The sequence below is a fragment of the Homo sapiens genome, chromosome 10 (assembly GCF_000001405.40).
Source record: "Homo sapiens chromosome 10, GRCh38.p14 Primary Assembly".
In the NCBI taxonomy this organism is placed as follows: Eukaryota; Metazoa; Chordata; class Mammalia; order Primates; family Hominidae; genus Homo; species Homo sapiens.
Window position 1 is genome coordinate 129,826,994 of NC_000010.11, and position 27,334 is coordinate 129,854,327.

At 46.0% G+C, this 27,334-nt stretch overlaps 1 protein-coding gene, 1 long non-coding RNA gene and 1 other non-coding gene across 19 annotated transcripts in view; 1 reads left to right on the forward strand and 2 right to left on the reverse strand.

The window, feature by feature from the left end:
* The window catches only part of LOC107984281 (uncharacterized), a 67,711-nt gene extending 59,378 nt beyond the window's left edge, over window positions 1-8,333 (forward strand). Inside the window, exons 9-10 of one of the 2 annotated variants that reach the window (NR_186702.1) lie at window positions 5,188-5,292; window positions 8,119-8,333. This is a non-coding gene — a long non-coding RNA (uncharacterized LOC107984281). Of the gene's footprint in view, window positions 1-3,371; window positions 3,761-5,187; window positions 5,293-8,118 lie in introns of those variants that run through there. The other variant, NR_186705.1, reaches the window with a different exon arrangement.
* EBF3 (EBF transcription factor 3) overlaps window positions 8,240-27,334 on the reverse strand; it is a 129,042-nt gene continuing 109,947 nt past the window's right edge. For 4 of the 16 annotated variants that reach the window (XM_011539574.2, XM_005252667.3, NM_001375380.1 and 1 more), the window contains 7 exons: window positions 21,399-21,487; window positions 16,144-16,209; window positions 15,123-15,300; window positions 13,851-14,039; window positions 13,252-13,449; window positions 12,090-12,202; window positions 8,240-10,967 (listed from right to left, as the gene is read on the reverse strand). In XM_011539574.2, coding sequence (XP_011537876.1) covers window positions 10,950-10,967; window positions 12,090-12,202; window positions 13,252-13,449; window positions 13,851-14,039; window positions 15,123-15,300; window positions 16,144-16,209; window positions 21,399-21,487 — 851 coding nt within the window. In that variant the 3' untranslated portion in view covers window positions 8,240-10,949. The other 12 variants (NM_001375390.1, NM_001375389.1, NM_001005463.3 and 9 more) reach the window with 8 other exon arrangements.
* On the reverse strand, window positions 16,306-16,381 carry MIR4297 (microRNA 4297). The gene has a single exon (NR_036179.1). It is a non-coding gene; the product is annotated as a microRNA 4297 (primary transcript).

Consider the following 27,334-nt stretch of genomic DNA (forward strand, 5'->3'; position numbering starts at 1 on the left):
AGCCTAGGAGGTCAAGGCTGCAGTGAGCCTTGATTGTGCCACTACATTCCAGCCTGGGAAATAGAGTGAGAGACTGTCAAAAAAAAAAAAAAAAGTCGTAATGGACATTTGAGTGGTTTCCACCTTTTAGCTATTATGAATACTACTGCTATAAACATTCCTGTGCAAGTTTTTGTGTGAATTTCTGTTTTTCATTTATCTTGTGTCTACACCTAGGATTGGAAATACTAGGTCATATGGGACCTCTGTGTTTGACCATTTGAGAAGTTGTTGGACTATTTTCGAAAGTGGCAACACCATTTCTGATTCCCATCAGCAATGTGTGAGTTTCTAATTTCTCCACATCCTCACCAGCACTGGTTATTATGACCTCCTTATTACAGCCATCTTACTGGGTGTGAAGTGGTAGCTCATTGTAGTTTCGACTTGCATTTACCTACTGACTAATGATGTTGAGCATCTTTTCACATGGATATTAGGGATTTGTATAACTTCTTTGAGAAGACGTCTATTCAGGTCATTTTCCTATTTTTAAATTGAGTGATTTGTCTTTATATTATTGATTTGCAAGAGTTCTTCTCATATTCTAGATACAAGTCCCTTATCAGATAAGTGATTTGCAAATCGTTTCTCTCATTCTTTGGGTTGTCTTTTCACTTTCTTAATAGTGTCTTTCGAAACATAGAAGTTTTTAGTTGTGGTGAAGTCCGATGTATTTATTTTTCTTGTGCAGCTGATGCTTTTGGTATCACATCTAAGATTTGTGTCACATCCATTGTCAAACCTGAGGTCAGGAAGAGCCCCCTGTTTTCTTCTAAGAGTTTTTACAGTTTTAACTCTTACAGTTAGGCCCTTGATCTGTTTTAAGTTAATTTTTTATGTGGTGTGAGGTACAAATATAATTTTGTTCTTTTGCTTGTGGCCCTCCAGTTGTCCAGCACCATCTGTTGAAGAGACTATTCTTTTCCTTGAAAGACCTTGGCAGTTTTGTCAAAACTCAGTTGACCATAGATACATAATTATACTTCTGGAGTCTCAATTTTATTTCATTGATTTGTCTATCCTATGCCAGTACCACAATGTCTCAATTGCTGTTGCTTTGTAGTCAGTTTTGAATCAAAATATGGGAATCTTTTAACTTTGTTCTTTTTCAAGAGTGTTTTTTGGTTATTCCATGTCTGGTGCCATATAATACGAATTTTAGGATGAGCTTATTCGTTTCTATAAAGAAGCCAGCTGTGATTATAATAGGGATTGCGCTGAATCTGTAGATCAATTTTGGTTGTTATCTTAACAATATTGTCTTTGAATCCATGAACATGGGATTTTTTTGTTGATGTAGATCTTTATTTTAACAATAAAACCATAGGGCTCTTTGAAGGTGTTTCAGAACAGCTATCTTTTGAGGTTGCCTACTCTTACCAACTCCTCTGTGAGAGCTGCCACAAAGTTCTGGGTCTCCATCATGTCCAAGGCATTGATGCAGCCCTAGGTGAATAAGCCTAGGGAGTCAGCTGGAGGGGAACTGGGCTGGGTTTTGTCCTTCCCTTTAAAGGTCCTCCCTCCTGCAAGCCTGCCAAGGCAACTGGGTGCTCATAGCTCCAGCTCATTGCTAGATCTTGGGTGTTCCCTTAACCTTGGTTTAAGATCAGCTGTTCACTTTGTCTCTACACACTATTCCTTTCCTCTTCAGAGCTGGGGAATCATCATATCTTAGGGTGCCCAATCGTCTGAGTTTGTCCTTTCACGTGTGTGAGAAGGGCATAATCCAGTCTTTATCATGTGTGTTTCTACTACCCTCAGCACCACTTATTGGAAAGGCCACTCTCTGCCACTGCATTTCAGTGCCACCTTTGTCGTCAATCAGGTGACCATGAATAGGAGGTCTGTTTCTGGTCTGTGCCATTAGGTTATTTGTCTGTTCTTGTTCTAATACCAAAGTGTCTTAGTTATTACAGCCTCATAAGATGTCTTGGTTTGGGTGGTTCAAATCCTCCAGCCTCTGTCTCTGTCAGAATTGCCTTGGCTCTGGATCATTTACAGTTCCAAGTAAATTTTAGGATCAGCTTATCAATTTTAAGAAAAGCACCTAGTGGAATTTGAGATTGTACTAAATCTATAGGTCAGTTTAGGGAGGAAGAGTTGACATCATCCCAACAGGTAATTTTCCAATCCATGAATATGGAATATTCCTTCATTTATTAAGATTTTAAAATTTTCTCTCAGTACAGTTTTGTGGTTTCCTGTGCAGACATCTTGCATAACTTTGGTAGCTTTCTAAGTATTTGCTGTTTTTAATGCTATTGTAAATGGCATTGAAAATTTTTAAATGGCATTTTTAAAATTCCTGTTATAAAAATACTGTTATTGTCATAGAAATACAGTTGTATATTGACCTTGTATGCATTAATCTTGCTAAATGTATTTATTAAACCTCATACCTTGTAAGTTATTTTTGGTTCTCTTATAATGCTAATTTTAATATATTTTTTTCCCCTAATTTGCTTGGTCAGTAACTGTTTGGTTGCAGGCAGCAGAAACTTCCTCCAGGAAGTTCAGATAAAAGTGAAGATAGTATCAGGCCCCAGAGGCATGCTGGGAAAGCCAGAGCAAGGAATTCAGTGGGGCTTCATGGGAACTCCTCCCTTGGGATCTCTCCCCTTTGGACCATGAAATCCAGATCTCCACACCTCTGTGCACCTCTACTCTTTCCTGCCCACTTGCCAGTCTGGTGTCTGCTGTCTTAGCACTATGTAAGCCCCAGCTCAGATTCCGTAGCCATGCACCAACGCCCATCCCATCAGGCCTCAGTGTTCTAGGCCAATCTGATGGCTCTGAGTTAGTTGTCCCGGCTACCTTGTTCACTGTAGTAGGAGGGCAGGGTGGTGAGACAGTGATACAGTGAGCAGTGTTCTCCAACACATAATCCTGCCTATTCACAAGAAAACTTGGAAAATATTAATGTAATGTGTAAGTTTTCACCTCCCAGATATACCTACTGTTAATTTTGCTGTAACTCTGACTAGTATTTTTTCTAAATATATGTATATTTTTATATATTATTTATTTTCCCTCTACATAGAAATTTACAAATTGAAATTACGTTCTACATAAACAGTATTATATATATATATGCTTGTTTTACCTAATTTTATGTCATTTGAGGTTGACGATTTTATTAGATATACTTCAAAAACAATCTTTATGGTTTAATAGAATATATAATATTCCATTACAATGGCTATATCATAATTTAATGACCAATTCCTATTTTGAGCCATTTGGGTTCTTTCCAGTTTTTTGATAAATATTGCCATAGCTAACAATTTTGGACTTAAAAGTCTTGTCTAATATCTGATTATTTCTTTCAGATTGATTCCTTGGAGTGGAATTAGTAAAAAGGATATGAATATTTTTAGTCTCTTGATATGTTAGACTGATTTCCAGAAGGCTTGTACCAATTTACTCTTCTACCGACAACTGTAAGAATACCCTTCCTCCATCAACAGCATTGTGTATTAGCTTTTAAGAAAAATCTTTTCTAATTTAATAGGTTAAAAAAATTCATCTCATTATTTTAATTTGATATGTATTTTTAAATGAGGTTGAATATAATTTCCCAAGCTTATTGATCACTTTTATTGTTCCCTTGTGAATGGACTGTAAATTTGCCTCTTTTTTCTTTAGGGTGTTCATTGAGTGTTATTGATTTGCAAAAGCTCATTGTATATTAAGAATATAAACCCTTTGTTGAGATTGTTACAGGCATCTTTTCTCTCTCTCCTGATGGCGCCTTCCCTGCATCAGCCCTGTGTTCTGCCAGCCCCACAACAGTAGCACAGGCAGTGAAGAATCTGGTCCCTTATAGGTGGAAAAACAAGTTCTATATTTGGCTTAGCTAATGAACCCTGTGATGGCTGAGCAAGCTGTACCAACACCCTCATTGTCCATGGCCCACCATCAATGTGGAGTGTTGGGAGAGGGGGTGGTCTGATGGGGCAGCTTGGTGAGAGATACCTGGGTCCCCTTCTGACCCTTTGTGTCTTTTTTAGCCAACACCTTTGATATTGTTGTTATTCATTGCAAGTCTACCCTCCAAATCATGATTGCTCTTATTTTCCTCTTCTTCATTCCATCCTTAGCCCATTATTACCTTGTTGGCAGTCACAGAAGCTAACTTTTATTGAGCCCTTGCTGGGTGCCAGCTGTAGGTGTAACCCCTTGCAGCCCAGCCCCTCTGGCTGCCTCAGTCCTAGCCTGCACCTCCCTCCCACTCCCGCACCTGCCTCCCACTCCCGCACCTCCCTCCCACTCCCGCACCTCCCTCCCACTCCTGCACCATAGGATGGGCTCAGTGTACCCTTCCCACACTGGCTCACCAGCCGCATGTGTGGACCCCATGTGGACCCCAGGAAACCCACGGAAAGCACAGGGAGCCAGCGGTTCCGAGGTGTCCTGGTGGCTTCAAAGGCCCTGGGAGACATGGTCTTCTGCTTCCAGTTTTGGGAGCATGGATGTGTGACATTGGTTATATTCTGAGGCAAGGCCCGCTGACTCCCATCTGAGCTGCACCGGGCAAGCTAGTTTCCACTTGTGGCCTGCACAGGTGGCCTCGGCTGAGTCAGGCCCTCCAAACCGTGTGGGTGGCTTGGTTAGGATCTTATCAGGGAAGTGTGACTTCTTTCCTTGCTTCCATTTAGATACCCCTCCTTCTCTCTCTCTCTCTCTCTCCCTCTCTCTCCCTTTTTTTTTTTTTTTTTGAGACAGACTCTCACTCTTGGTGCCCAGGCTGGAGTGCAGTGGCACAATCTCAGCTCGGTGCAACCTCCGCCTCCCGGGTTCAAGCCATTCTCCTGCCTCAGCCTCCCAAGTAGCTGGGATTACAGGTGCCCACCACCACGCCTGGCTAATTTTTTTGTACTTTTAGTAGATACAGGGTTTCACCATGTTGTCCAGGATGGTCTTGAACTCCTGACCTCAAGTGATCCACCTGTCTCGGCCTCCCAAAGTGCTGGGATTACAGGCGTGAGCCACCGCGCCTGGCCAGTCTTTCTTACTGAAGATACCTGAAACCTAAATCAGTGGAGAGAGGGTAGGGTTCGAAGATTGGAGACGTCCCCTGGCATCGGATCCTGGTCCTTTCAGCCTGGTGACCCTGGCCCATCCTCTAAACTTTCTGAACTGCAGTTTCACCACCTGGAAGTGGGGAGTCAGCTCCAGCACAGAGCTTTGCGGGAGGACAAAAGAGACGATGTGGATAAAGTGCTCCGCAGATCATCAGGGGCGGCAAAGGTGAGTATTGCTGTTAGATGTGTGGAATATTTGACTCACTTTGGAGACTATATTTAAGAGATGGTCTCTGAGGAATCTTGAATCAGAAACAGTGTTCACCTCCTCCTGAAGTAGTGCCTGCCCTCACTTTGTCCCTGGCCCCAGTCTTTCCAGGAGGGACAAAATGCCCTCCTAGATTCCCACTAAGTACCAGAAACTCAGTAGGACCTCAGCTTCCCCCCTCAGCCTTGACTGGGTGCCCCCATGCAGGGGTGAGAAAGGTGCAGGTTCATCCAGGGCACTCAGGAGACCCACTGGGAGGCTGGGGGCTGGTGGCCTCAGATGCTTTCGAGTCTTCTCCAGGGGGACACCACCCTGGAGTGGCCTGGGGGGCAGGGCAGGCTCTGCAGAGGAGAGCACTGGGGCTTCCACTGGATGCTGGATGGGAGTTAGCCAAGATTCTCTCTGCCCAGATCTCAAGGTCTTGGCACATGCGGACTGGGAGGCCCACATGCTTCTGTATCCTGTGTGCAGCTGTCTGTGGGGTGGTATAGAGCCAACTGGGGTGGGGTGGCACGGGGGTGGGGACTCACCGAAACTGACGGCACTCCCCAGAGAACATGTCTCTGTGGCCATCCGTGGATCTGTGAGTGCAGACCTAGAAGTCACTGTGAATTTTGCCAAGGACGACATCCCAGGTTATAAAGCTGCCACTGGATTCACCATGATTGCACCTGTTATTGTCACAGGTTCAGTTGGCTGCACTCAGTGGGGCAGGCGGAGTCACCAGGGCTGCCTCTGCTTGCCAAGGAGCCCGGCCACGGGTTGTCCCTAGGCCAGGGATGGGAGCGGGAGCTGCGTCCACTCTCACTCCCAGCCCCGCCACGATGGCAACTCGCTCCCTGTGAAATCTGCGACTCTACACTGGGACATGACAAATGACCAAAAAATCAATTTGTAATCTGATTGGAGGTTTTTGATTTCCTCTGATGAGTTTAAATTTCATTAAAAGCAACCTTATTCCAACATAAAAGGAATCCTTGAAGGGTAAAACGGGGGATTGTCTCACTGAGTATAAAGCATCCCAACTCTTTTGTGTGATTTATTCATGGCATTAATTGTGAGGGCCAACCTGTGGTGTCCGTTGGCAGCTGCGCCGTTATCAGGGCCTGGGATCGGCCCAGCGAGCTCAAAGCACAAGGACTCACATTCAAAAATCACTCTTCGGCATATTGACACTTCAGTTATCAACAACTGTTTTTATCTGCTGGGAGGGAGATCGCAGCTCGTGGGGCCGGAGTAAGCCACAAATCACTGCCGCCGCCGCCTCTCTGCATTCTCTTAATTGTATGTATTCTCTGGATAAAATGATCATTGTGGCCTCTTGTCTTGATGAGAAATTGACATTTCTGAGGACTTCTTTGGGCGCTCCGAGCAAGCGAGATAAGGCGTGGGTTGTTTTAGAGGAGAGCAGCCTTTCTTCCCTTTCAGGGGCCTCTTTACTGCTTGCGTTGACCCACTTGATGAGTATGGATTTCATGAGGTCTTTTTCAGCATTTGAACTATAAAAGGTTCAGAATGACACCACCCCTTATAGACAAAAGATAACCTTGCCCTTTGAATATATTGATTCTTTATTAACTAGGCTGTTTAATGCAATGAAATGAGGCATTAGATTGAAGCCCATTTCAAGTGCTTTGAATAATCTTTAAAAGCTTGAAAGACCTTAAAAGGCGGCCTGACAATAATTGGCATGCATTTTGAAAGAAGGCAGTTCTTGCTTCTGATTTGAAACACAAACATAAAATAATTTCTCCATCCCCGGGTTACAGGGCGTTGGGTACTTGTGGCACCAGCGCAGAATGGGAAGGTGGTGACTTGCCCAGCCACTGCTTGTCCCAGCCCCAGCCCCAGCCTCCAGCCACTTGGAAGGGAGCCTGCAGGGGAGGGGAGTGGGCAGGCTTCAGGCTTGTACCTTATAAGCCTCTCTCTTTGCTGTCTCTTTAAGGCTGAAATGAGAACCTGATTGTCAATGACACGACAAAAAGGTATTCACAAGTTTCTTTATGTTTTGAATAATTGTTTCCTGTTTTGCTCAGCAGAACAAGTAATTAAGATGACATTTGTGAGTACTAATTTGGATCACACTTATGTGTATGTGTTATAAAGCTGCAAGCCAAAACATGCAAACCCAGCCTTTCATGGAGGAGAAAATGAAAAAATACCGAGTGAAATGGGAGCATGGGAAACTCGGAGGAGCTGAACATCGGCGTGTAAATTAGAACCTCAGTGTTGATAGCAGATCTCATTATAGTCGGTGCATTTGGCTACCGACCTGCAGCCAGCAGTGCCCGGGGCTAGTGCATGGGGTCTGCTGTGCCACTGTGGTGGCAGTGGCATCCGTGATGCCCCTCTTGCAGAACGTAGGCAGCGCAGGCATCTGGGTGCCCTGGTATCTGCACACCCATCCAGAGCCTTTGCTGCTGTGTCACTCTTCTAAGCCTGGTTCTTGCCCAGTGGAACCCAACCATGGAACCAAAAGAAGCATGTGTCTGGGGTCACCGGAGCCGTTGTTCTCTACCTGCCCAGTGCGCTATTCAGAAGCAGAGGGGCTGGGGCAGAAGGTCTGGAGGGAGTGGGTTATGAAGCCCCTCAGTGAGCCTTGGGATTGTTTGAGTTCTCAAAGACAAGTGCTGGAACAGTGATTGTGTCACCCCAGTGCTGCTGTGGCCCACAGAACATCTGTGACACAGAAACATCAGCCAGAGTGCAGCATGAATACAGATGGCACCTCTGGGGGTCAGGACCACGTAAGTGACAATTTGCTGAACCTCTCTTTCTATGCAGGTTAGAGGACGGAGGCTGGATAACTTTGTGGAAAGTTCCTCTGTGGAACATTTTTATCTTGGCCAAGTTGCAGCTTCAGAACCCGGTCTGTGCAAATGAAACCCCTGATGTAACTTTTATGTTAGTGTTTAGTCATTTTAATAATCAAAAACAGAGAAAATTACCAAAAGTGAAATTCACAGACAAGAAATACTTTAATTAAATATTGTGTAAAATGAACATTTTTATACAGTTAAATATCTGAAAAAATGTACAGATAAAACAATCTTATTGTAGGGTCTTTAACAGTAAAATCTACCATTTAGTGAAGTGCTCAGTCTTGAGACAGTGAAGTGATGTGGGCATTGACTACTTAACCTAAAACACAAACCAAGTGAGGGCATGGGGAAGCTGGCAGGCGTTCTCAGTGCGTCCATGTGAGCTCTTTTGTAGATCAAACCCTTACTCGTACAAAATAAAATGGAGGCAATTTAGTTCCAAAGTGACTTCTCAGGCTTTCCCATGTAGCTAGACCTTGTCAACCATCACAAAGCCAGACTGTGACCTGCTGACTCCTGGGGACATTCTGTTTATTTAATTTTGTCCCTAGAATGAACACTTTGTAAGTTGTGCATTGTTGATTTTTGTCAAGAAGGTATTTTAAAGTCCCTCCTTTTTGTTTTAAATTCGATTTCTGCTGCAGTTTGCAAAATGTTTGCTGTGCCGTGTCTGCAAAGCACTTAGTGCAAAGGAGAAAGAAAAAAAAAAAAACACCTGACACTTTTGGTCTCACTGTGGGTTTGGCACTAAGAGGCACGATATCTGAAGGAGGTCATTCCAGTTTTAAAAGTACGGACAGTGCTGTTGGAACTGACCACAAAAATGTATTGTTAAAAAAAAATTGAAAACCAGCAGTGATTTGGGTCCCCCTGAAACCTCTGTGAATCGGAGGTGGGCCCAGGAGGGTGCAGGACGCAGCAGAAATAGTCCCAGAAAGGAGAGACGGGTCATGCAGCGGGCTTGTGCTTTTTTGTGTGTGTTTGTGTGTTTTACACCATACATCTCCAAATGAAGTATTTATTAACAATTGTAGTGTAAGCCTGTGATAAAATAGCACAAAGGTTCTTTAAAGAAGTTCACTTTTAAGGCATCAGAAAAGTTAATGTGGCAAACATTTTAATTAAAACATCAGAAGTAAATTTTATTTTAAACTTTAGGCCTCTGAATTTTTCCAGTAAACACAGTTCAGCTATGTGGCAAAGTCAATGGGTGGCATCTAAAATGACTTTTTACATTCTACAAAAAAATAAAATAAAATAAGGACACAGCCCCAAACGGTGTCACCTCTTCGCGGCCGCTCCACATGCACAGAATCTACTAGGATTTGTCACGGCCGGGTGGCACCGATTTGTTTTGACTATACAACAAACTTTTTTTTCAAAAGTATTTGTTCAGATAACTTAAAAATAATATAAAAATAAACAATGAATTTGACTTTTCCTCAAAATAAAAAAAAAAAGGATGGAAAGTCTAAACAATAGCATATTTTTTGAAGTACAAATGAAATGTAAAGACACTGGTTCAGCTTAACGAAACAGATCAAAGAGACAAGTTCTTGGCTAATGCTCTTCCCAGTATCACAACACCAGGCCGTGATCAAAAACCAATACAGACAAGAAAGAAGAAAAAGGAAAAGGTGGGAAAAGCAATGTACAAAATTTCAAAGATAAATACAATATTTATAATTGATATGTTACAAAATAAAGTCCCTTAGCAACTGCAAGTGTTCATGGGAAAGTAAGTGTCAAATGAAGACCATTTTATTCCTTATAAGACACATAAGGAATAAAACTTGTTTTTCTAAATATTTTAAGTGGATCTGAAAAAAATTCAAGACAAGTGTATAAATATTTAGCTACAACTTTGGCAAAATCACAAAAGTCTACAATTTTATAACCACATACAAAACACATTAGGGAAGAAGGATCTAGAAGTCAAAAGGACAATTTCTGGTACAAGAAACATAGACCTCACAGTAGCCTAAGAATGCAATAGTATACAGTGCTAGCAAAAGTTGAAAAAATGTTGCAGATCACACTTGCTTAACAGGAAGCTCTAGCAGTGGGAGAATATTGGAACCAACAGACAGTAGCATTTTTTCTCTGTCAGTGTGCTTGTTGAAGGCAAGAGAATTCAATATCAAAGTTACAATTTCTAACTACAATAAGTTACAAAGTTTCATTTCATGAAGATGAAGTTAAGCAGTGATAAACCCTCCCTCCCTCCCTGCCACCCCAGTTTCTCCTCATCATATAGTCATCCTTTTTTCCAGTCTGATGGCTCATACCTCCTTGGCCCTCTTTTTATCACCACAAAAAAATATTTCACATTATAGAGATACACAACCATTGTGAATCTAAGTATGAGTACAGAAAAATGTTTGGAGGCATTTTTCATCAGCGTTTCATGATCATCAAAATGGTGCATTCACAAAGTTTCTCCCAACACATAGCAATTACTAGACATGGCCAAGACGGAGTCGGAAACTTTATACAAAATAGGCGTCGCTTTGTTTTCCTTATTCTTCAGGACTGAGAAATGTGAAAATATGAGAAAAGTTCAGTCAATAAAATGGAATTGTTCATGAAGAAGTAGGCTGTTTGCATGTTGATTCTTAATAGTTTAAATAAAATCTTTAAACAAAGTCTTTTGTAGCATTTCAATTGCTGCTGATTTTTTTGAAGATACTGTTTCCATCAGCATGTCTTAATATACTAAACGTGTCCCCTGAAGTCCGTCCTTTGATGCTGGGTGCTGCGGAAGGTAAACAGAAGTCCCTCACATTGGCGGGACTACCAGCCCAGACATAGCTGCAAGACAGAAGGACAGAGCAGTTACTGCAGGCTCCCCCACGCGCCCTCCCGCCAACGCTGACGCGGGCGGGGCTGCCCTTCCCCCCTATTCAACTGGGAGGCTGGTCTTGCACAGTTCCGTCCACCAGCCTCGGGCGTGGTTAGGGCGTGCTGGGGAATCTGCTTCCTGAGGTGGGGGCACACGTGGGGACAACAACCCCCAGTCCTGCCCCTCCTGCAGCCCTCCTCAAAGGCTTCTTTAAAGGCTTCTTTTGGAAAAGGGAAGGGCTCCTGGCACTGCTGTGTGCAGAGGCTGCAGCTTCCCCACACTGACCGGTGCACTGCCAACAGGTGCAAAGCCAACGGAGGCCCGGAGCCCCCTCTGTCGAGAGAGGTGACCCAGCCTGGTCACTCCCGTGACGCCAGTCAAGGCCGGCTCACAGGCCCTGCTCTCGCTCCCTATGTGAGAACCAGACTGGCCTCAGTTTCCCCCTCTGCTTCCAGGTCTGGGCTCTGACCGTGCGGTCATCTCTCTGTATCGTAATGGTGAGTCAGGGGCTCTCCAGAATCAAAGCCACTCACAGCCCACCTGCCCTGGAACCTCCAGGCAAGGGCCACGGAGAGACGTGAGTCATGGCACCGCCTCGGGACCTTTTTTCTCTTCTCAGGAAAGAAGAGAAAACTTTGCACGAAAACGCCAAGTGGGGCTGACGCTTTCACATGAACTCCTGGTACGAATGTAATTTAAAATCTTTTACCGCTGGTGTTGTTTAATTTTTGTCAGAATGATCGTTCTCATTAATTTATGTATAACATATTAATACATTTGTTCATGTAGTGACGTGAGCTTCAATTTCTCAGTTCATTAATTTCAACAATATTAATTTATCTCCGACTCACCGTTACAACTTTACGGTTTGGAAGCCCTGTGCGTACACACCGCGTAGGAGGTGCCGTCTTTCAGCCGGCCCGACCCCGTGTCACGGGCAGGGCCGCGGCACCTCACCACCTGCCTCTGCAACGACCCTGGTGTGGTGCCCGCTGATGGCACGCAGGCCAGTCGGCGGCACTTCGGGGGCCTGGGCGTCCCTTCATACGCTAACGGATGTTGTGAAGACAATGATTTCAAATCACTGATACCTTTCCAGTTCCTTTTTTGAGCATTAGTTCATCAAAGTGAAATATGCCACCGACTTCACAAAAGGGCCAGTTTGTCTTCTCCGCGGCTACGTCCTCAGCACCCAGCAGAGAGCCTGGTACATAGTAGGTGCTCAGTAAATACTGGTTGAATGGGTTCATGTTTCTAAAGGAGTAACTGGATTTGAGTCACTGGGAGGAGCATATACCAAAGGTGGTGTCTGAAAGAGGCCAGATGACGGCCACTTAATTTAAGTGCCTGCGGGCCTCAGCACCTCACAAAGGGCCACTCGCAAGTTCATGAGGCCTGGGGGCACCCATGTGGCTCTGCCCGTCACACACATCACAGGCCACGTGCAGCCTGCACAGCTCAGATGGGCCAGGCGCTGGGCAGGCACAGGGTGCCCACCCCGTGTGGCCTCATCTGTGGACAGCTGTGCCCTCGGGGCCGGCCCTTCTCCCTCCTGATTCTTTGAAAGAGATCACGTAGGAAAATCAGCTCCTGTCCACAGACAGGACTGCAACCTGGTGTTGGTACACACCTGGCCCTGGGTCTAGACGCACACCTCTTTCCAAAAGACAGTGCAGCCCTGCTGGATGTGTGGCCCAGCAGATAAGGTGGAGAACCAAGGCCCAGCCTCGGGACAACGAGGGTAGCAGATTTTGAGATGGGCTCCACAGGTAGCATGGTGCCCCGCCATTCCCATGCCAGGGCTATTTTCGCTGCTTTGTGCATAGCAGGCTGCAAGCCCAGGAGCTATGGGCAGGGCAGCATCCTGCGCTGAGAAGTGCCAGGCCCCGGGCAAAGGCCCATTGGCTGAATCAGACCGACAGTGACCACAGCTACCTTCACCACACTCCCGCCTTCTCTTACGTGGTCCCACCCCCTTAGGGGCACAGGGTGCTCCACCGTAAGTACACTAGGTGCCGTCGGAAGGGTGAGCTGGACAAAAACCAAGAGGAGGAATCTGGTCCTTTCTGGGGCTCAGTGCACAGGGGTCCTCGCTGTGAACACCAGGCAGAGGTGGCACGCATCAAGGTGGGCCACGGGAGAACATGCAGCAGTCACAGAGGTGCCAGGAGAAAGGCCGAGCCCCCACCCCCACTCCCATCCCCACCCCTGGAGAGGACCCAGCACTGGCCCACGGCCCCGCACCACCCTCACCTTGCAGTCCATTCCCGTTGGCGCTGGTGCAGGAAGGAGGAGGAGAGGCTTGGGGCCGGACCACGGGCGCGAAGGCGCTCTTCTGTTTCACTGCGGAGATGACATTGGCAGGTGAGAATGAGAAAATGCCGTGTGTGCTGCTACAGTTTGAAGGGAGGGTGACCGAAGAGGCTGCCATGGTGGGGCTGGACGGCACTACTGCAACAAAGCAAACACGGTCAGCACGCGCGGCCGCGGCACAGCGCCACGGCGAGAGGGCACCAAAGGCCTCGCCTCGGACGGGGGGGCAGGGGCACGAAAACAAAACATGACATGCGTCTGGCTCGGCCACGCTCTGGATAACAGGCAAGCTCTTTTGCACTGGACTTTCCCTTCCAATTGAGCAGCCCATTTTGTTCTGATTTTGTTTTGGTTTCCAATGAGATCACATCGGGCCCGTTTTGGGTCAATTTACGGTCGCCATTTGGACGCCCAGCCTCCAGGGCCACCCTTCCTTTTATCCAGTAGCTCACATCACAGAACATCCAAGCAATGCACACACTCGACTCGGTAGTGAATATGAATCTGCGTGATGACGTGTGACAAAAACAGACACTTACTGCCGTAGGGAGAGTTAGCGGAGGAGCCATTAAGAAATCCAGGCGAGCCAGGGACCCCTAGACTGGCCATGGCGCCACTTCCATATCCATTCATGCTAGTGCTGACTGTGTTGTAATTGGACTGCTGGGGAGTACTGCTGGGGACGTAGCCTCGCGGGGACACGCTGCTTGTATTGCGACTGTAGCCGACTGTTGAAATCCCCCCCCCGGCCAAAAATAACATTATTATCAGCGACAGACACTTGGGGGGGGTTCCCCGAGAATCTATATCATATATTAACATTGCTAATTGACCCTGTGCTTTCCACCTGCTCTAGCGCCTGCTGCCAGCTCGGATGACCTTATCACGCCAACCCTGCTGCCACTGTCTCACCGTGAGCCCCATCCTGTCTCTGCTGGCTTCAACAGCCAGCCGGGGCGCGCTTCGATCTCGCCGTCAGTGGCTTTCACGTTTCTCTTTAGAGGCAATTATCAACAGCTTGGATTCCTGGTCTGTCCCCCCACGCTCTGTGAACTTTCGGCCTCTGTAGACCTTCAAATGCCATGACTGACAAGGAGAGCTTGTTTGTGGCCGTAACTTCCCCTGAAAGGCTGTTTGGGGGTCTTCATTTGTATGGTTGTTATTTCTATACATGGGGGCGTTCGGGGGACATGGAAGCTTCATTCCTGCCATGGGAGCTTGTGGATGGACGGGAACAAAATCAGCAATAGTATGGGTGAGGTGTTTTCTAAGATCACTGCCTGCGCGCTTTTCAATGAAGAAAACTAAAATGGACCCAAATGGCAAGATGCAGCGGCCTTGGCTGGCCCAGGACACTGCACTGTGGGATGGGGTGCGGGGTGGGGAAATGGGGGTCTGTCTCCATGGATTCGTTCCAAACTTAGACCCAAATCCCGCCGTGCAGTGCGTCCAAGCAGGCTCCCCTCAGCTCCCTAGGCCATGGCTATCCTATGGCTTAGCCCAGACTTCCAAGGAAAGCAAAGTCTCTTATGAACACATTGAGGGAAACTTCTAGCAAATACCAGTGACCCGCATGGCATCCATTGGAGCTGCCGTTTTTAGTAACTGGGCTCTCTGAGTGTTCTTACCCCAGCACTGGCTGGGAGGACCTGCAGCAAGGTCTTCCTGAGCAAAGGAACCAGCAGAGCCAGAGAGAACAGAACGCTACGGACATTCCCCAGCTGGCCCTGGACACGTGCCTCTTCAGCTAAGGCCTCAACCAACCCTCGGAGGGCGTTCAGGGCAGGGGTCCTCCCAGCATGCTGGCATACCTTGGTCGTTGGCTTGTGACGTCTCTGACACGTTGACGGCTAGCTGGCTGCTGAAGGAGTTGACGCCCATCATGCCCGTGTGTGCAGGGTTGTTGCCCAGGGTGGGGATCTGGTTGTGATTGCGGGGAACGCTGTACAGCGCCTCGGCGATGTCCGCCGCTCGCTTCAAGATGATCTCCTGCAGCAGGAGCAAGTGGGAGCCGGCCTGTCACCCCAGGCCCGGCCCAGCTGGCCGCACTCTCGGGGGCCCACCATGGTGGCATCCCACTGTCCCTTGCCCAGACCATGACCAAATCTATTTCTTAATGGGCAAAGAGCTTCCCCTAGAAAATCATTTACTGACGCTTTTGAAAGTGTGCAATATCTGGCTGGGCACGGTGGCTCACTCCTGTAATCCCAGCATTTTGGGAGGTCAAGGCAGGCGGATCATCTGAGGTCAGGAGTTCAAGACCAGCCTGGCCAACATGGCGAAATCCCATCTCTAATGAAAATACAAAAATTAGCCGGGTGTGTTGGCAAACGCCTGTAATCCCAGCTACTCGGGAGCCTGAGGCAGGAGAATCGCTTGAACCTGGGAGGTGGAGGTTGCAGTGAACCGACACTGCCCTACTGCACTCCAGCCTGGGTGACAGAGCAAGACCCTGTCTAAAAAAAAAAAAAAAAAAAGGGAGCAACATTTGCTGTGTTCTGTCCTGCATGCTGTGGGGCGCCCATCCAGCCCTCCCTGGTTCCCAGCGGCACCAACACCGTCCACCCGCCACTGCACACTGCAGATGGGTTTCAAGGCTGTGCACTCCCGCTGTGACAAGTTTTTTCTGCTTTTGGGTCCTGACACCAACTCATCATTTCTACGTGAACCTAGCGTGAGGGCAAGGATGGGAAGCCATTCTCACATCAGACTCCTGTGGAGTCGCTGGAAAAGCATGCTTATGTCCAGAAAGCCCACACTGGAGCCACGCCGGCTGCCCACGGGTTCTGGCATGGGGGGGAGGATGGGCGAGGGGAGCCGCCCTCCACCTACCTGGTTGTTGTGAGGCATTCCGTATAAGGCTTCCACCAGGTCCGCCGCCCGCTTCAGTAACACCTCCTAAAGGAAGAGCAGACAGGAGGTGATTCATGGGAGGAACCGGCCAGTTATCACTGCCCTTCAGTACCAGTTCCGTCTGCGGGTGTGGAGACCAGTCCCCACCCACAGCGACCCGTCCTGGCCCTGCCGTGCACTTCGAAGGCAGGCACAGACAGGAAGGCACGTGCGTGCTGACAACACTGTTTGTGGCCTTTACAAGGAGGCTGAATAAAAGCGTTTTCTGTGGCTCCTCCATCCGGTTGGGCTCACAGAGGTGCACGGACAAGCGGGAGGGCCGGCGGAGAACGAGCCCAATCCGTGCCTGAGGTTTAATGACGGAGTCTTATGGGTATTAAACAAATACACACATGGCGGAGATATGAAAGGCCCAGGCACCACATTTGCCTGTTAATTCCTAGCACTTTAGTGGTGAAGAACAATAAGTAATTTTCCATATCTTAATTAAACTGGCAGAGTCCTTAAAGACAACATCTCACCCCTAATTCACGCCCCAAATTTGCAAGTGAGTTCAGTGCTTATTCCTCTTTATTTTGAACAATAAAGTGAATTAACTTGGGTTAATCTAGTTCTTTCATAATGACATTAAGAAATTTTTCAATTAACCTCTTTGACTGCATGTTGTAAAGGACTTCATAAATGCCTTCACATTCCGAGAGTGTGCGCGCTGTGCCTGGGGGCTTGGATGCACCGAGTTTTGTCTTATCCACGTCTGCACGCCTACCTCCAGTTTACGATTGTGCGGATTAATCCAGAGTTTAGTTAATTTTAAATACAAATGGGGGCTTACGTTTTAACTTTCTCTACCTTGAGCTGTAATAAAACGGAGCTGAGCTTTTTAATAAGCCGAGGCCAGGCCCAAACCCCTCCCCAGCATGGAAGACGGGCAGAGAGTTTCTTTCCAACTCCATTCAGCCAGGACAGTGCTAGCACAGAGGTGAAGAGAAAAATTCCCTGGGTGGCTGGAGCACAGTGGCCTCCTGCGGACCCCAGGCCCGGTCTAGGAGAGCTCTGCGGTCTAGGAGAGCTCTGCTGGTCCACCTTTTAGGTGTGGAGGTGTGTCTACATCTGGGCACCTCTTGTTAACCTGAGACCCCAAAGGTGACTGGACAAAAAGTAAGGCAGGTGGCCTTCGCTCCTGGGCCTGTGGCTGTGGCCTTCCCAGAGAGCTCTGTGGTGCCTCACAGACACACCAGCTTATGATTTCTGCAGATTCACATAAGCAGATTTCAGCCTGAACCTCTTAATGCAAATACAGTGCAGTCGGCTGGTGGGAAGCAGGCCCGTAATGACTCCACTGTTAAATCTGTGTTACATCTGAGAAGGCAACGACTGCCTTCCAAGGACTCACTCGCCTCATTGTTTCCCCATCTCCCCCAACATGCCGACTCTGGACCCTTTATTTATCAAGATTAATCACTACGGGCATCACTTTTTGTGCGTGCCATACGTTCCCAGGAACAGCACTTAATCCAGAAAGTTCCCGGATGGGTGGCTCTGACAATGGGCATTTACCTCTGAAATTGGTGCCGACGCTTGATGTTGCATGCATCTAGTTTGCATACAAATAAAGAATTAGACTTGTCATGAAGCAGGTATAATCAATGAAAGGCCCAGCTGTCTTAATCAGGTTTCGTTAGCCTGAGCAGCTCTCTGTGAGCAAGATAAAGTGTTTTTCAGAGGTATTAATAATTACTCATAATCTCTCCTATCATATCGCAAGACTTTTTACATGCCTTTCAATTTTAAGCAACGATTAAAGCAATTAAGATTGCTGCATTTACAAGCTATTTTTCATTCCCAGAAAATATCCTACACCTACTTGTCCATATGGTACTTTGCAATTGGAACATAAGGATAGTTTAGGAAAATTACGTATGCTCTTATCCTAATCTGCCTATTACTGGATAGTGTCTTAACTAATGAACCCGACTTTCTGAGCTGCTCTTAAGTGGTGGTCTTGTCATATCAGAGAGACACAAAACGGGTAACCCAATCAGTCAAGGATGCTTTGAACAAGTTTGTTTTGTTACAATATGCCGAGCTTATGCATACTGCCTCATGCTGTGAATACATTAGCACCGAATGGTGTTTGAAAAGCATTTCGATGGAAATTTCTTAGCCACAACCATAAGTGTAATTGGCTGCCTTTCAATAGGACATAACAGACTTCAAGTTAAATGGAAACTATTAAAGCTCAAATGATTTCTGCCGTTGTTTCATGACAAATGTACAGTTTTATTATTATGAGTATTCATTCTTGTACAGTGGTCGACAGCGATTTGAATATACATGATTATTCACATGCCCGATGATCTAGAATGGTATATATCATCACAGTTAAAAGAGGTAACCAAGGTGACGTTGCTTCAGGTGCTAATGTCATTATAAAACTGTAAAGCAATTATTCTGTTAGTTCTTGCCTGGGGTTATGAATACATTGAAGAGTGCAGAGCCATTAGATGTAGCTACTTCAAAAAGCGGGGAAAAGAAGATGAATTTTAATGCATGGGTAATTGCTCAACATGACCGCATTCCTAATAAATTTTTGTATATTAGAAAAAAAGAACAGAATATATTTGTGTATGATGCATGAAACAGAAAAAAAACTCAGATGAAATGCATGCAATTAATTTTATGGTAAAATCATTTTATGACTATGCACCTTATAATAAATATAATTTGTTAGAGCACAATTCCATGCATAAAATGTAATTTGTTTTTTCTGCTTTCATTTTTTTTTTTTTTTTACTATAACATGTCTTAGCCTTGATTATATTGTTTCAAATAAGGCTTAAAAAGAATGAGAATTCTTTAGTCTCTGATCACTTAGAGACGTCTTCCCTTCCAATCTCTATTTTTGCCACATGAGTGCCTCTTGATATTGCCTTTATTTTCATTCTGGGCTTTGTGTGTGTGTGTGTGTGTGTGTGTGTGTGTGTGTGTGTAAAACATTTGCCTATTTATGCCACTCCCACAGGATAAAATGGGTCATTTTTGATGGTGCCTAAAATTAGGAGGTAAACTTCAATTCAAGCCAACCCCCCTCTCTCAGAAGCAACACTATTCGCGTGCATCCAAAACAATGTGTGTGCAATGTATTGGCTTTCTGTCGCCCCACAATTACCCATCAAACCACGTGCATTACGGAGCTTCAAAAAAATTGCTGCAAAAATCAATATTGTGGTAATATTATCAACTGCGGGGTGACGCCGAGGAGGGGGCAGCACTCCTCGGCAAAGCCTTATTGAGACACACGCTTTACATCTGCGGAATCTCATCTCTCATTTCTATTCTTTTTTCTCTGTCTCTCTGCTTGTGACACTTACGGCTGATTTTCTTTATTCCATTTCTTTTTTCATTCAAAATGTATGTTAAGGCCAATTGCTGTTTTACTTAGGACCCACTCTGACCCTTGTAAAGCAGCCTCAGATGGCTGGCTTAACCATGATGAATCGCTTGGCAGTTTAATTTACATGCCGCTGAACTCCACATTTGGGTCCATTAGAACAAAATCAAATATTTATGTTGTTTATTGAAACTGCTAGATTTCATCTCGTTCAGTGATCGTTTTATGTGAAGCCTGAACAATACGTTTTCACCTGAATTAAAAGAGCTAAGTAATATGGGGCAGTGGGCTGTGGGCTAACTGATCTGTCACCCTGCTGGAGGGCTTATGGGAAAAAATGCCCATAACTGAGAAAGTCTTCTGTCCCCCGGGGAGGCAGAAGCCCTTCCCTGGAGGGCTGGTAGGCTTCCCAGGGGTCCCATCCAGGCCCCCAGCCGCCCTGGGGGCTCAGGGAAAGAAGGTGGCTTGGAGGAGGCTGGGTGCTCACCAATGAGGGCCCTGGCAGGCACGCGGTCACCTGTGGCGCCAACACCAGCTGCCAGCGGGGAGGACTGTGCTGTGGGGTTCTGCAGGGACCTGAGGGGAGTGGGAAGGTGACCAGGGAACCCCCCGAGAGCGCAGCTGCTGGGGTGTCTTCCCTGAGGGCCACCCAGCCTCAAACCCAGTGCTTCCATGGGCCTGCCAAGGCATGTGGTCTGTCTATGGGATGGCGGGACCCAGTCACTAATCCTGCACACAAAGCCAGCCCTAGATGGAGGCTGGCAGCAAAGCCCTCTGGGTAAGGATGTTGCAGGCCTCGATTCTTCCCGGGGAAACACTCGTTCTGCCTGGGCTCACCCTCAGGAACAAAAACCCCTCCGTGAACTGCTCTGCATTTGAAAAACATCTTCCCCAGCCCTGATGATCCTAACAGTGAATATCTGACATCCGTTGCTAGCATGTTCACAAATTAAAAAGCAGCCTAATGACATCGCCTATGTTCATGCTGAGCATTAAAAAGGTAATGTCTAAAAGGTTTTATTGTGTTAATAAAACTCAGAGGTGGTCAAGACTTGGTACACACAGGGATGGAATGTAAAACAATCAGCCATAATGTTATGACTTCATTTTTCATTTTGCATTTTCAACTCTGCCTTGGAAATCAGATAGGGCTTCTAAAGAGAGAAAGAGACAAAATTATATCAAAGGAAAGGAAAAATTATAAGCTTGACTTGTCTTTAATGTTATACATCAAAATGGAATTTCTGTGATATGTGGCGTGTGCATAAACAACGCGGGCAGCTTTTGTCTTTGTTGAATTTAAATGGAAAGTCCCTCTAGATATTAATATGTGGACTTCATTTGTTAGCCTGCTAAGTCAGGGACTTATAACAAAAGCTTTGTAAACAAAAGATTAAACTGAATCGAGCTTTAGAAAATGAAAGGAAAACAAGAGTCAAGTAATCACAGATCAGACTGGGGCTGCTTAGATGGAAATCAGAGCAGGCCACTGGAGTGGAAAATGTTTAATTGAACTATTTCATTACGCGGAAGTTTATGTCCCCCTCACAGAATCCAAAATATTTGTTATCAGAAAAGCTGTTCTTTGCTTCCCTTAAAAAGATGGTCCTTTGGAGATGAGATGTAAAACTCGAGCCGTCTACGCCTTCTCTCACCCTTCGCCCACCTCTGAAGCTGGTCAGGTGCGGGCCCGGGCAGCTCCTCACACCTGTCGGCCCTGTGGTGGGCACAGAGTTTGGGGAATCTGCAATCCCCCCTTCCCAGAGCACCTGCTGCCCCCAAACCAGAACCAGCCCAGTGGCGGCCCCACCATGAGCGGGGTGCCACTTGCTCTTTTACTAACCTTGGGTAACCTTTCGGGATCACCCGGATGTCTTGGGATCACTTTCTGCAACCTCTGAAAGCCGTAATCTATGGTTGGTTCATTAAGGGCTGCAACAGGACACAGAAATGTAGATCAGGTTAATTACTTTTATGTCATCCATTACTCGTTTATTGCACACTTACAAATAAATGTGTAGTTCTCCTGCTCTGATGCTCTCTAAGGCAAGCACCCCTGAATACTAGCTGTGTCTTAAGGAATAGATTTTCCCCCTTTCTTTTGCACATAAAAGCAACGATTATTTCTGATCTATAATTAGACTGGAAGAAAGTCAAAGGGTGACTCAATATATTGTAAAAATGGTAGTGCAGTCACAAAGTTACAGGTCTTGGGGCCATATGTAGCAATCACCACCATCACGATGTGATGTCTGCATCACACGGTGCCTTCCACACTGGCCAGGGATTTATGGGAAACTGGCAATTATGACATATGTCCAGCTATTGCTAGCCTCAGATTTATCCCTGTGGTCCTTTTTTGTCTAGCATATTGCCTGAGCACAAACCAGGCAGGAGGAGCACTTATTCTTGCAAAGCTTTAATAATCTGTGAATGGCTGCCTACAAACTGATGTAGGGCACTATCATTCTACAGCTGCAATCCACCAGCCTCACGAAATTGCTGGCCACAAACAGTAATTAATCTTTTTATCCCTCAAATTGTAATTTTGACTATGAACTGTGCGCGGCCATAAATCAGCGGCACATGCGCTGTGTACAGTGCATGAATCACGGCCGGGACTCCGTCCGACTGCACACACTGTGTTTAACAAGCTTTATAAGGAGCCATCGGGCTTTATTATGGCTCTGCCTGACTCCAACAAAAACTGAGCCTGGAGGCCCGGGGACACGAGTTAAGATGAAAATACTTATTGGAGTACATTACTTCTTGATGTAGATGGCGTTTTCCGTGGAGTCACTCCACGGTGCGTGGCACAACATAAATCAGAGGTTTTTCGGAGACTAATAAGACCTGCCACCATCTATTCATTACTCTGCCTGCAATTTGGGCCATCACTCATTAGTAATTTGATGATTAACACGCCCCACCTCAGCAGGTGTGCAAGGTGCGGGGGCGGACACAAAGACTGCGGCTTCCGGAGAGGACGGCTAGGGGGCCGCCTTTGCAAGTGCTCTCCAAAATAATTGGTCACCGTTCTCGAGTGCTTGGGCGTCGGCGCATCTTGTAAGCAACGCAGGAAGCCTCGCACGTACACTCAATAATGCGCCCGAAAGTTGAGGACCACAATATGATTTGACATTCCATCATACATCCCGGAGATAAAGGTCCGCACAGGAATGTGAAGTAAGACATTTTCTTGTTAATAAAGCATTGATCCGATGTATTGATTTTACATGACATGGCTTTTGCTGGGATTTTGCCCTCTTTTTTCTTTGCAAATAGTAAAGCTCTTCAAAATGCCTCGGCGTATGTGACATGGCAAAATTTCTAACTCTCTGTGATGTAAATTCTATATGTGTAAAACCACTTCATAATCAGACCATTAATCATCAGAAGCTGTCAGCGTTGACTTGGGGGACAATTTGTCATGTCTCTGCCTAGGCCCAGGCCAGAGTGTCAGGCAAAAGCATAGTTCGGGCCGCGGGGCGCGTGCGCAGTCGCCCAGCCTCACCAAGCGACTTGGTCCAAAAAGGATTAGATAAAGTATTACCTTTCCTGAACAGGGAACAAAAAAGGCGGCCCACTGCATTTCTAACGTGTCAGGTTTCTCCTCTCCCCCAGCTAATCACCATGACTGTTTGACTTAATGAATCGGCCTGATGAAAGGTGATCAGAAAAGATAGATGGGCGGCCATTATTGATTTCATGCAAATGCCCCTGACAGGTGATAGACGCTTTAATGCAAGCTTTCAGAAGCTTTATGACTTGTAATAACCATACACTCTCATTCTGGGAGAGACGCTTTCCAATGTTTCAGTTGAATTGATATTCTTCTTTGATGCCCAAAAATATGTGAAAGCAGGGTAAGTACATGGGCCCCTTTCACCTCTCAGTTCAGCCCAAAGAGCACTTATGTCTTGAAAGCAATGCCAAGAATAAGCGCGGCACTCCATTGGAAGTTCGGATGTGAGGCGTAATTGTGCACTGTGGGCTCCTGCCAGGCTGGATGCGGGCCGAGGCAAGGGGCTGGGGCTGCCATTCCAGCTCTAAATCCCTTCCAGGGGCTGGGCTACTGGAAGCCCAGTGAGTTCACGTTCAAGAATTAGAAAAAACTGCCCCTCTCTTTTTAAATTGCAGGAGGAATGACACGCATTCGTGGTTCTGGGAGGCTTCTGATCACTGAAGGTGGGGGTTCCCAATCCACCTCTGTGCCCCCAAGAGCACCTGCCTTCTACAGAGCTCCTGGGTTCTGCAAAGCCTGGCCAACTGGTGGCCCCTCTGGCCCACAGCCCCCCAAACCCTACAGAACCCACCACCGCCCTGCACCATCACTGGCAAGTTCCCCGACGGGAGGAGAAAGCACCGGGGCCTCACACACATCTCATGAGCCCTCCGCACGCAGAGTTTACGGGCGAGAGCCCTGCCGAGCCAGGGCAAGGCGCTGGCACGTCCAGTCACAGAGCCCCGAGCCAGGCCAATCAATACCACTTTCCTGTTTTAGAACTGGGTAATTATGAGGGGGAGAGATTGCCTGACCTTTCACCTGCGCTGCATTACTTTGCTGATATTAAGATAAATTGCCTGATTTTGGGTAAACATATGCTGCAATTCAAACTGTCAGCACTGGTTTGCTCAGGGATAATTTGTATTGATCTCCCAGCTTCTTCCCAATTTTGCTTACTGACCTCGTGGATAATTAGAGAAGGAGCCTTGGGTGAGCTCAAGTCGGGGATGAAGAAGAAATATGAAGAAGAATAAAGCAAATTTGTTTTATGTTAATATTTGTGGGTCCTCCCCCCACCCTCACATCTGTCAGCATCTGGAGAGCCGTAAATTAATGTACTTGGTTCCCGAGCAATTTATTCCCAGGAATTGTTTAGCAGCATGCTTAGTCTCCGAACACATGTCACTGGGTTAAATTAATTTAAACTCTGCCTTAAACACAACAAAAACAAATGTTATTTTCTACTGAAGGGGGAAAAAAACAATACGTTTCTCAAAATTTTGAGAAACGTATTGTAAGCTCCCAACTTTCTGCATGGAATTCCACATATCTGGATCTGAGAGGATGAGTTTTCTAAGAAATCCCCCCAGAAGTAATTAGTGCCCATTATTTGTCCTGAATTCAAATTTTGCTACGATGGGTTGCTGCGTATAAGAGATGAATGTATGTGTGAAATTATATCGTTTAAGATATGTCAGATTACAAGGCTGTTGTATCAAAAGTCATAAAACAAATCTCCCCTGTGAAATATCTCTTTATTAACCGTGCCATAAGATATTAACATTCCTCATTTAGTGGAGGGCCTTTTATCTGTTTCAAATACATTATTCGTCCTTTTAGAGATAAACTGTATTAATATCCATTTGAGTAGGCTACCGCGGCCTAATGCATAGTAATTTTTGTTGGAGAGCTTTTATTTTAGAATAAGAAAATTACACAGCAATAAAACCTGAATGAATCAGAAGCTAGAATAGCCGGGAATCACATTCCATGCCAAATGAGGCAAGCAGTCGGGCAGCCTGTGAAAGGCCAGATATCCGGCTATCATATGCAGGCCAGTATCCAGAGCGGGTCATACAAATAGAGCCTGACACGACCACATAGACTCAATGCTTCCTGCACGCTGGAATAGCCTACAGCTCGGGAAGGATACATATTTAAATATATTTGAGTGTACTGGAGTTAATCTCGTTACTTTACATGCATTAAGTCATAACAGAAGAAGCATTCTAAATATTTAAGTCATGCCCGTGTACTGGGGGATTCATCACACCGCACTTGATACAATGTTAACGGTCTGTGATGTCAGTTCAACTTGGGATTGCTGCAGCTAATGTGGCAGCAGAAATGGCATCAGGCGCTGAGCTGCAGCTGGGGCCAGAGCAGCTCCAACCGGCCTGCTGCAATTAGAGACGTACCGGCGGGCAGGAGGCACTGGGATTTTCTTTCTTGTGACATACGTGGTTGTAGTTTTCATTTTGATGGCTTAACCTTCTTTGTCAGCCAGCCCCGCCCTGAGTTCATGTTGATCTCTAATACCCCAAAATGTATATGATTATTTTATTAGACCTGAATAGCAAGTCCGTTAACTTATAAACGTCATTCAATTAAATTAAGCAAGGGGACACGTTCAGTACTTCTGGGTTGATAACACAGAAAAAAAGAAAAATTCGGATTGGAAAACATACACGTTTGGGGCCAGTGAGCACTTTCTACAAAGAGTAGTGGAACCATCCATCTTAAATCCAGTTCCTGCACCAAACATTTTATCAAGCAGCTACTACATGCCTGGGGCTTGGTCGTGGGTCCCCACCAGCTGTGGGAAATCCACCCCCAAGGGCATCCTGTGAGCAGCAGCCGAGAGCAGAGGGAACTGCTGCAAGGGACTCTGGCAGTCCAGGGCGTTGAGGTCCCCCCAAGGCCTGGAGGCTCCCTGCCTGCAAACAGGACTGGACTGTGGCAGGAAGGAGGGGACAGGGTGAAAGAGCTTAATTGTGATGGCAACCTCCTGACCACCCCTGCCCGGGAGAGCTGGAGACCAGCCCAGCCAGCGAGCAGTGTGCGCCGCCTGTAAGTACTCCTAGAGTAATTGCTCTTCCAGCCACAGTTGTGTTTTTAAAATAGTGTCATTAAACACACAAGGGGGGAACTCGCAGGTAGGAAGTGAGACGCTTTTAGCATTGCCTCTCCATTGTTTAAGCCCAAGCCCAGCACGCAGAGAGAGATACAAGAAGTTTTAGGTTTAGCGCAAATTTTCTTCCTGCCTGAAAAACCTGACTCCAACAATAAAAACAGGAAGACATTCATTTGCTTCATTCCAGCTGCTGGCTGCAGCTATTAAATGAGTTCCAGTTTCATTTCAATAATGATCATCTTCCTGTAGCTTCCCAATCATGCATTTGTCATAACGCAGTAATTTTCTAGCTACAAACAGATCCTCGTAATGAGGCAGTTTTTCACATTAGCAACATAACTACATAATAAGAACATCTGCAGTTCCTTTTCCGAGGGACAAGAATGCGCCTCAATTAAGGCAATGGGGATTGTTAAATAAGATATAGTATATTTTACTAACAGGGAGACCCAGACCCTACCCCAACAGACTGCAAGCCGTCAGTGTGCCTGAATGAACACAGGTTGTAATGTGTAAAAATTAAATAAAGTAAAATTAAATTGCTCAATACAAAGACATTCCTCTAGAGGGTGTTAGTGATTTCAGTGACAAAGTGCTATTTGCTGACAAGTAGTTTACACATTAACCAGCTGAATCCAAGGGGGAAAAATGCCAATAGCAATTATATCACCTTGAGGTTATTAAATGTCCCACTGATAAGTAACTAGGTGAACTTGACCAGGTGATAAAGACTGCTGTGAGCAAATGATTGTGCGGTGAAGAATGTTTTTCTGTCCTGCTGTTTCTCCAGATAGCTTTTCTTTCAAAAATGACTGTATAAAAAGTTGCATTAAAAATGTGTGGCCACGGAAGACAAAATTGATATTTAGCTCCCCCCTGAATACCTTGCCCCCACCAGAGCGCCTTCATCATTCCACCTCAAAAACATTACACAAAGTCTGCAAATGCCTGCTTTTTCTCCCTTTTTTAGGCTTTAAAATGATGCTAAGTTCTTCACTTTATCATCAACTGTCTCCTCCAAGTGCATTTCATCTATAAGAAATTCAGATGCTCGGGAAATTAAAATTTCAAAGATCTGCTGCAAAAAAAATCAATGGGGCGAGATCAATGCTCATAGAAATTTCATGAACTTTGAACT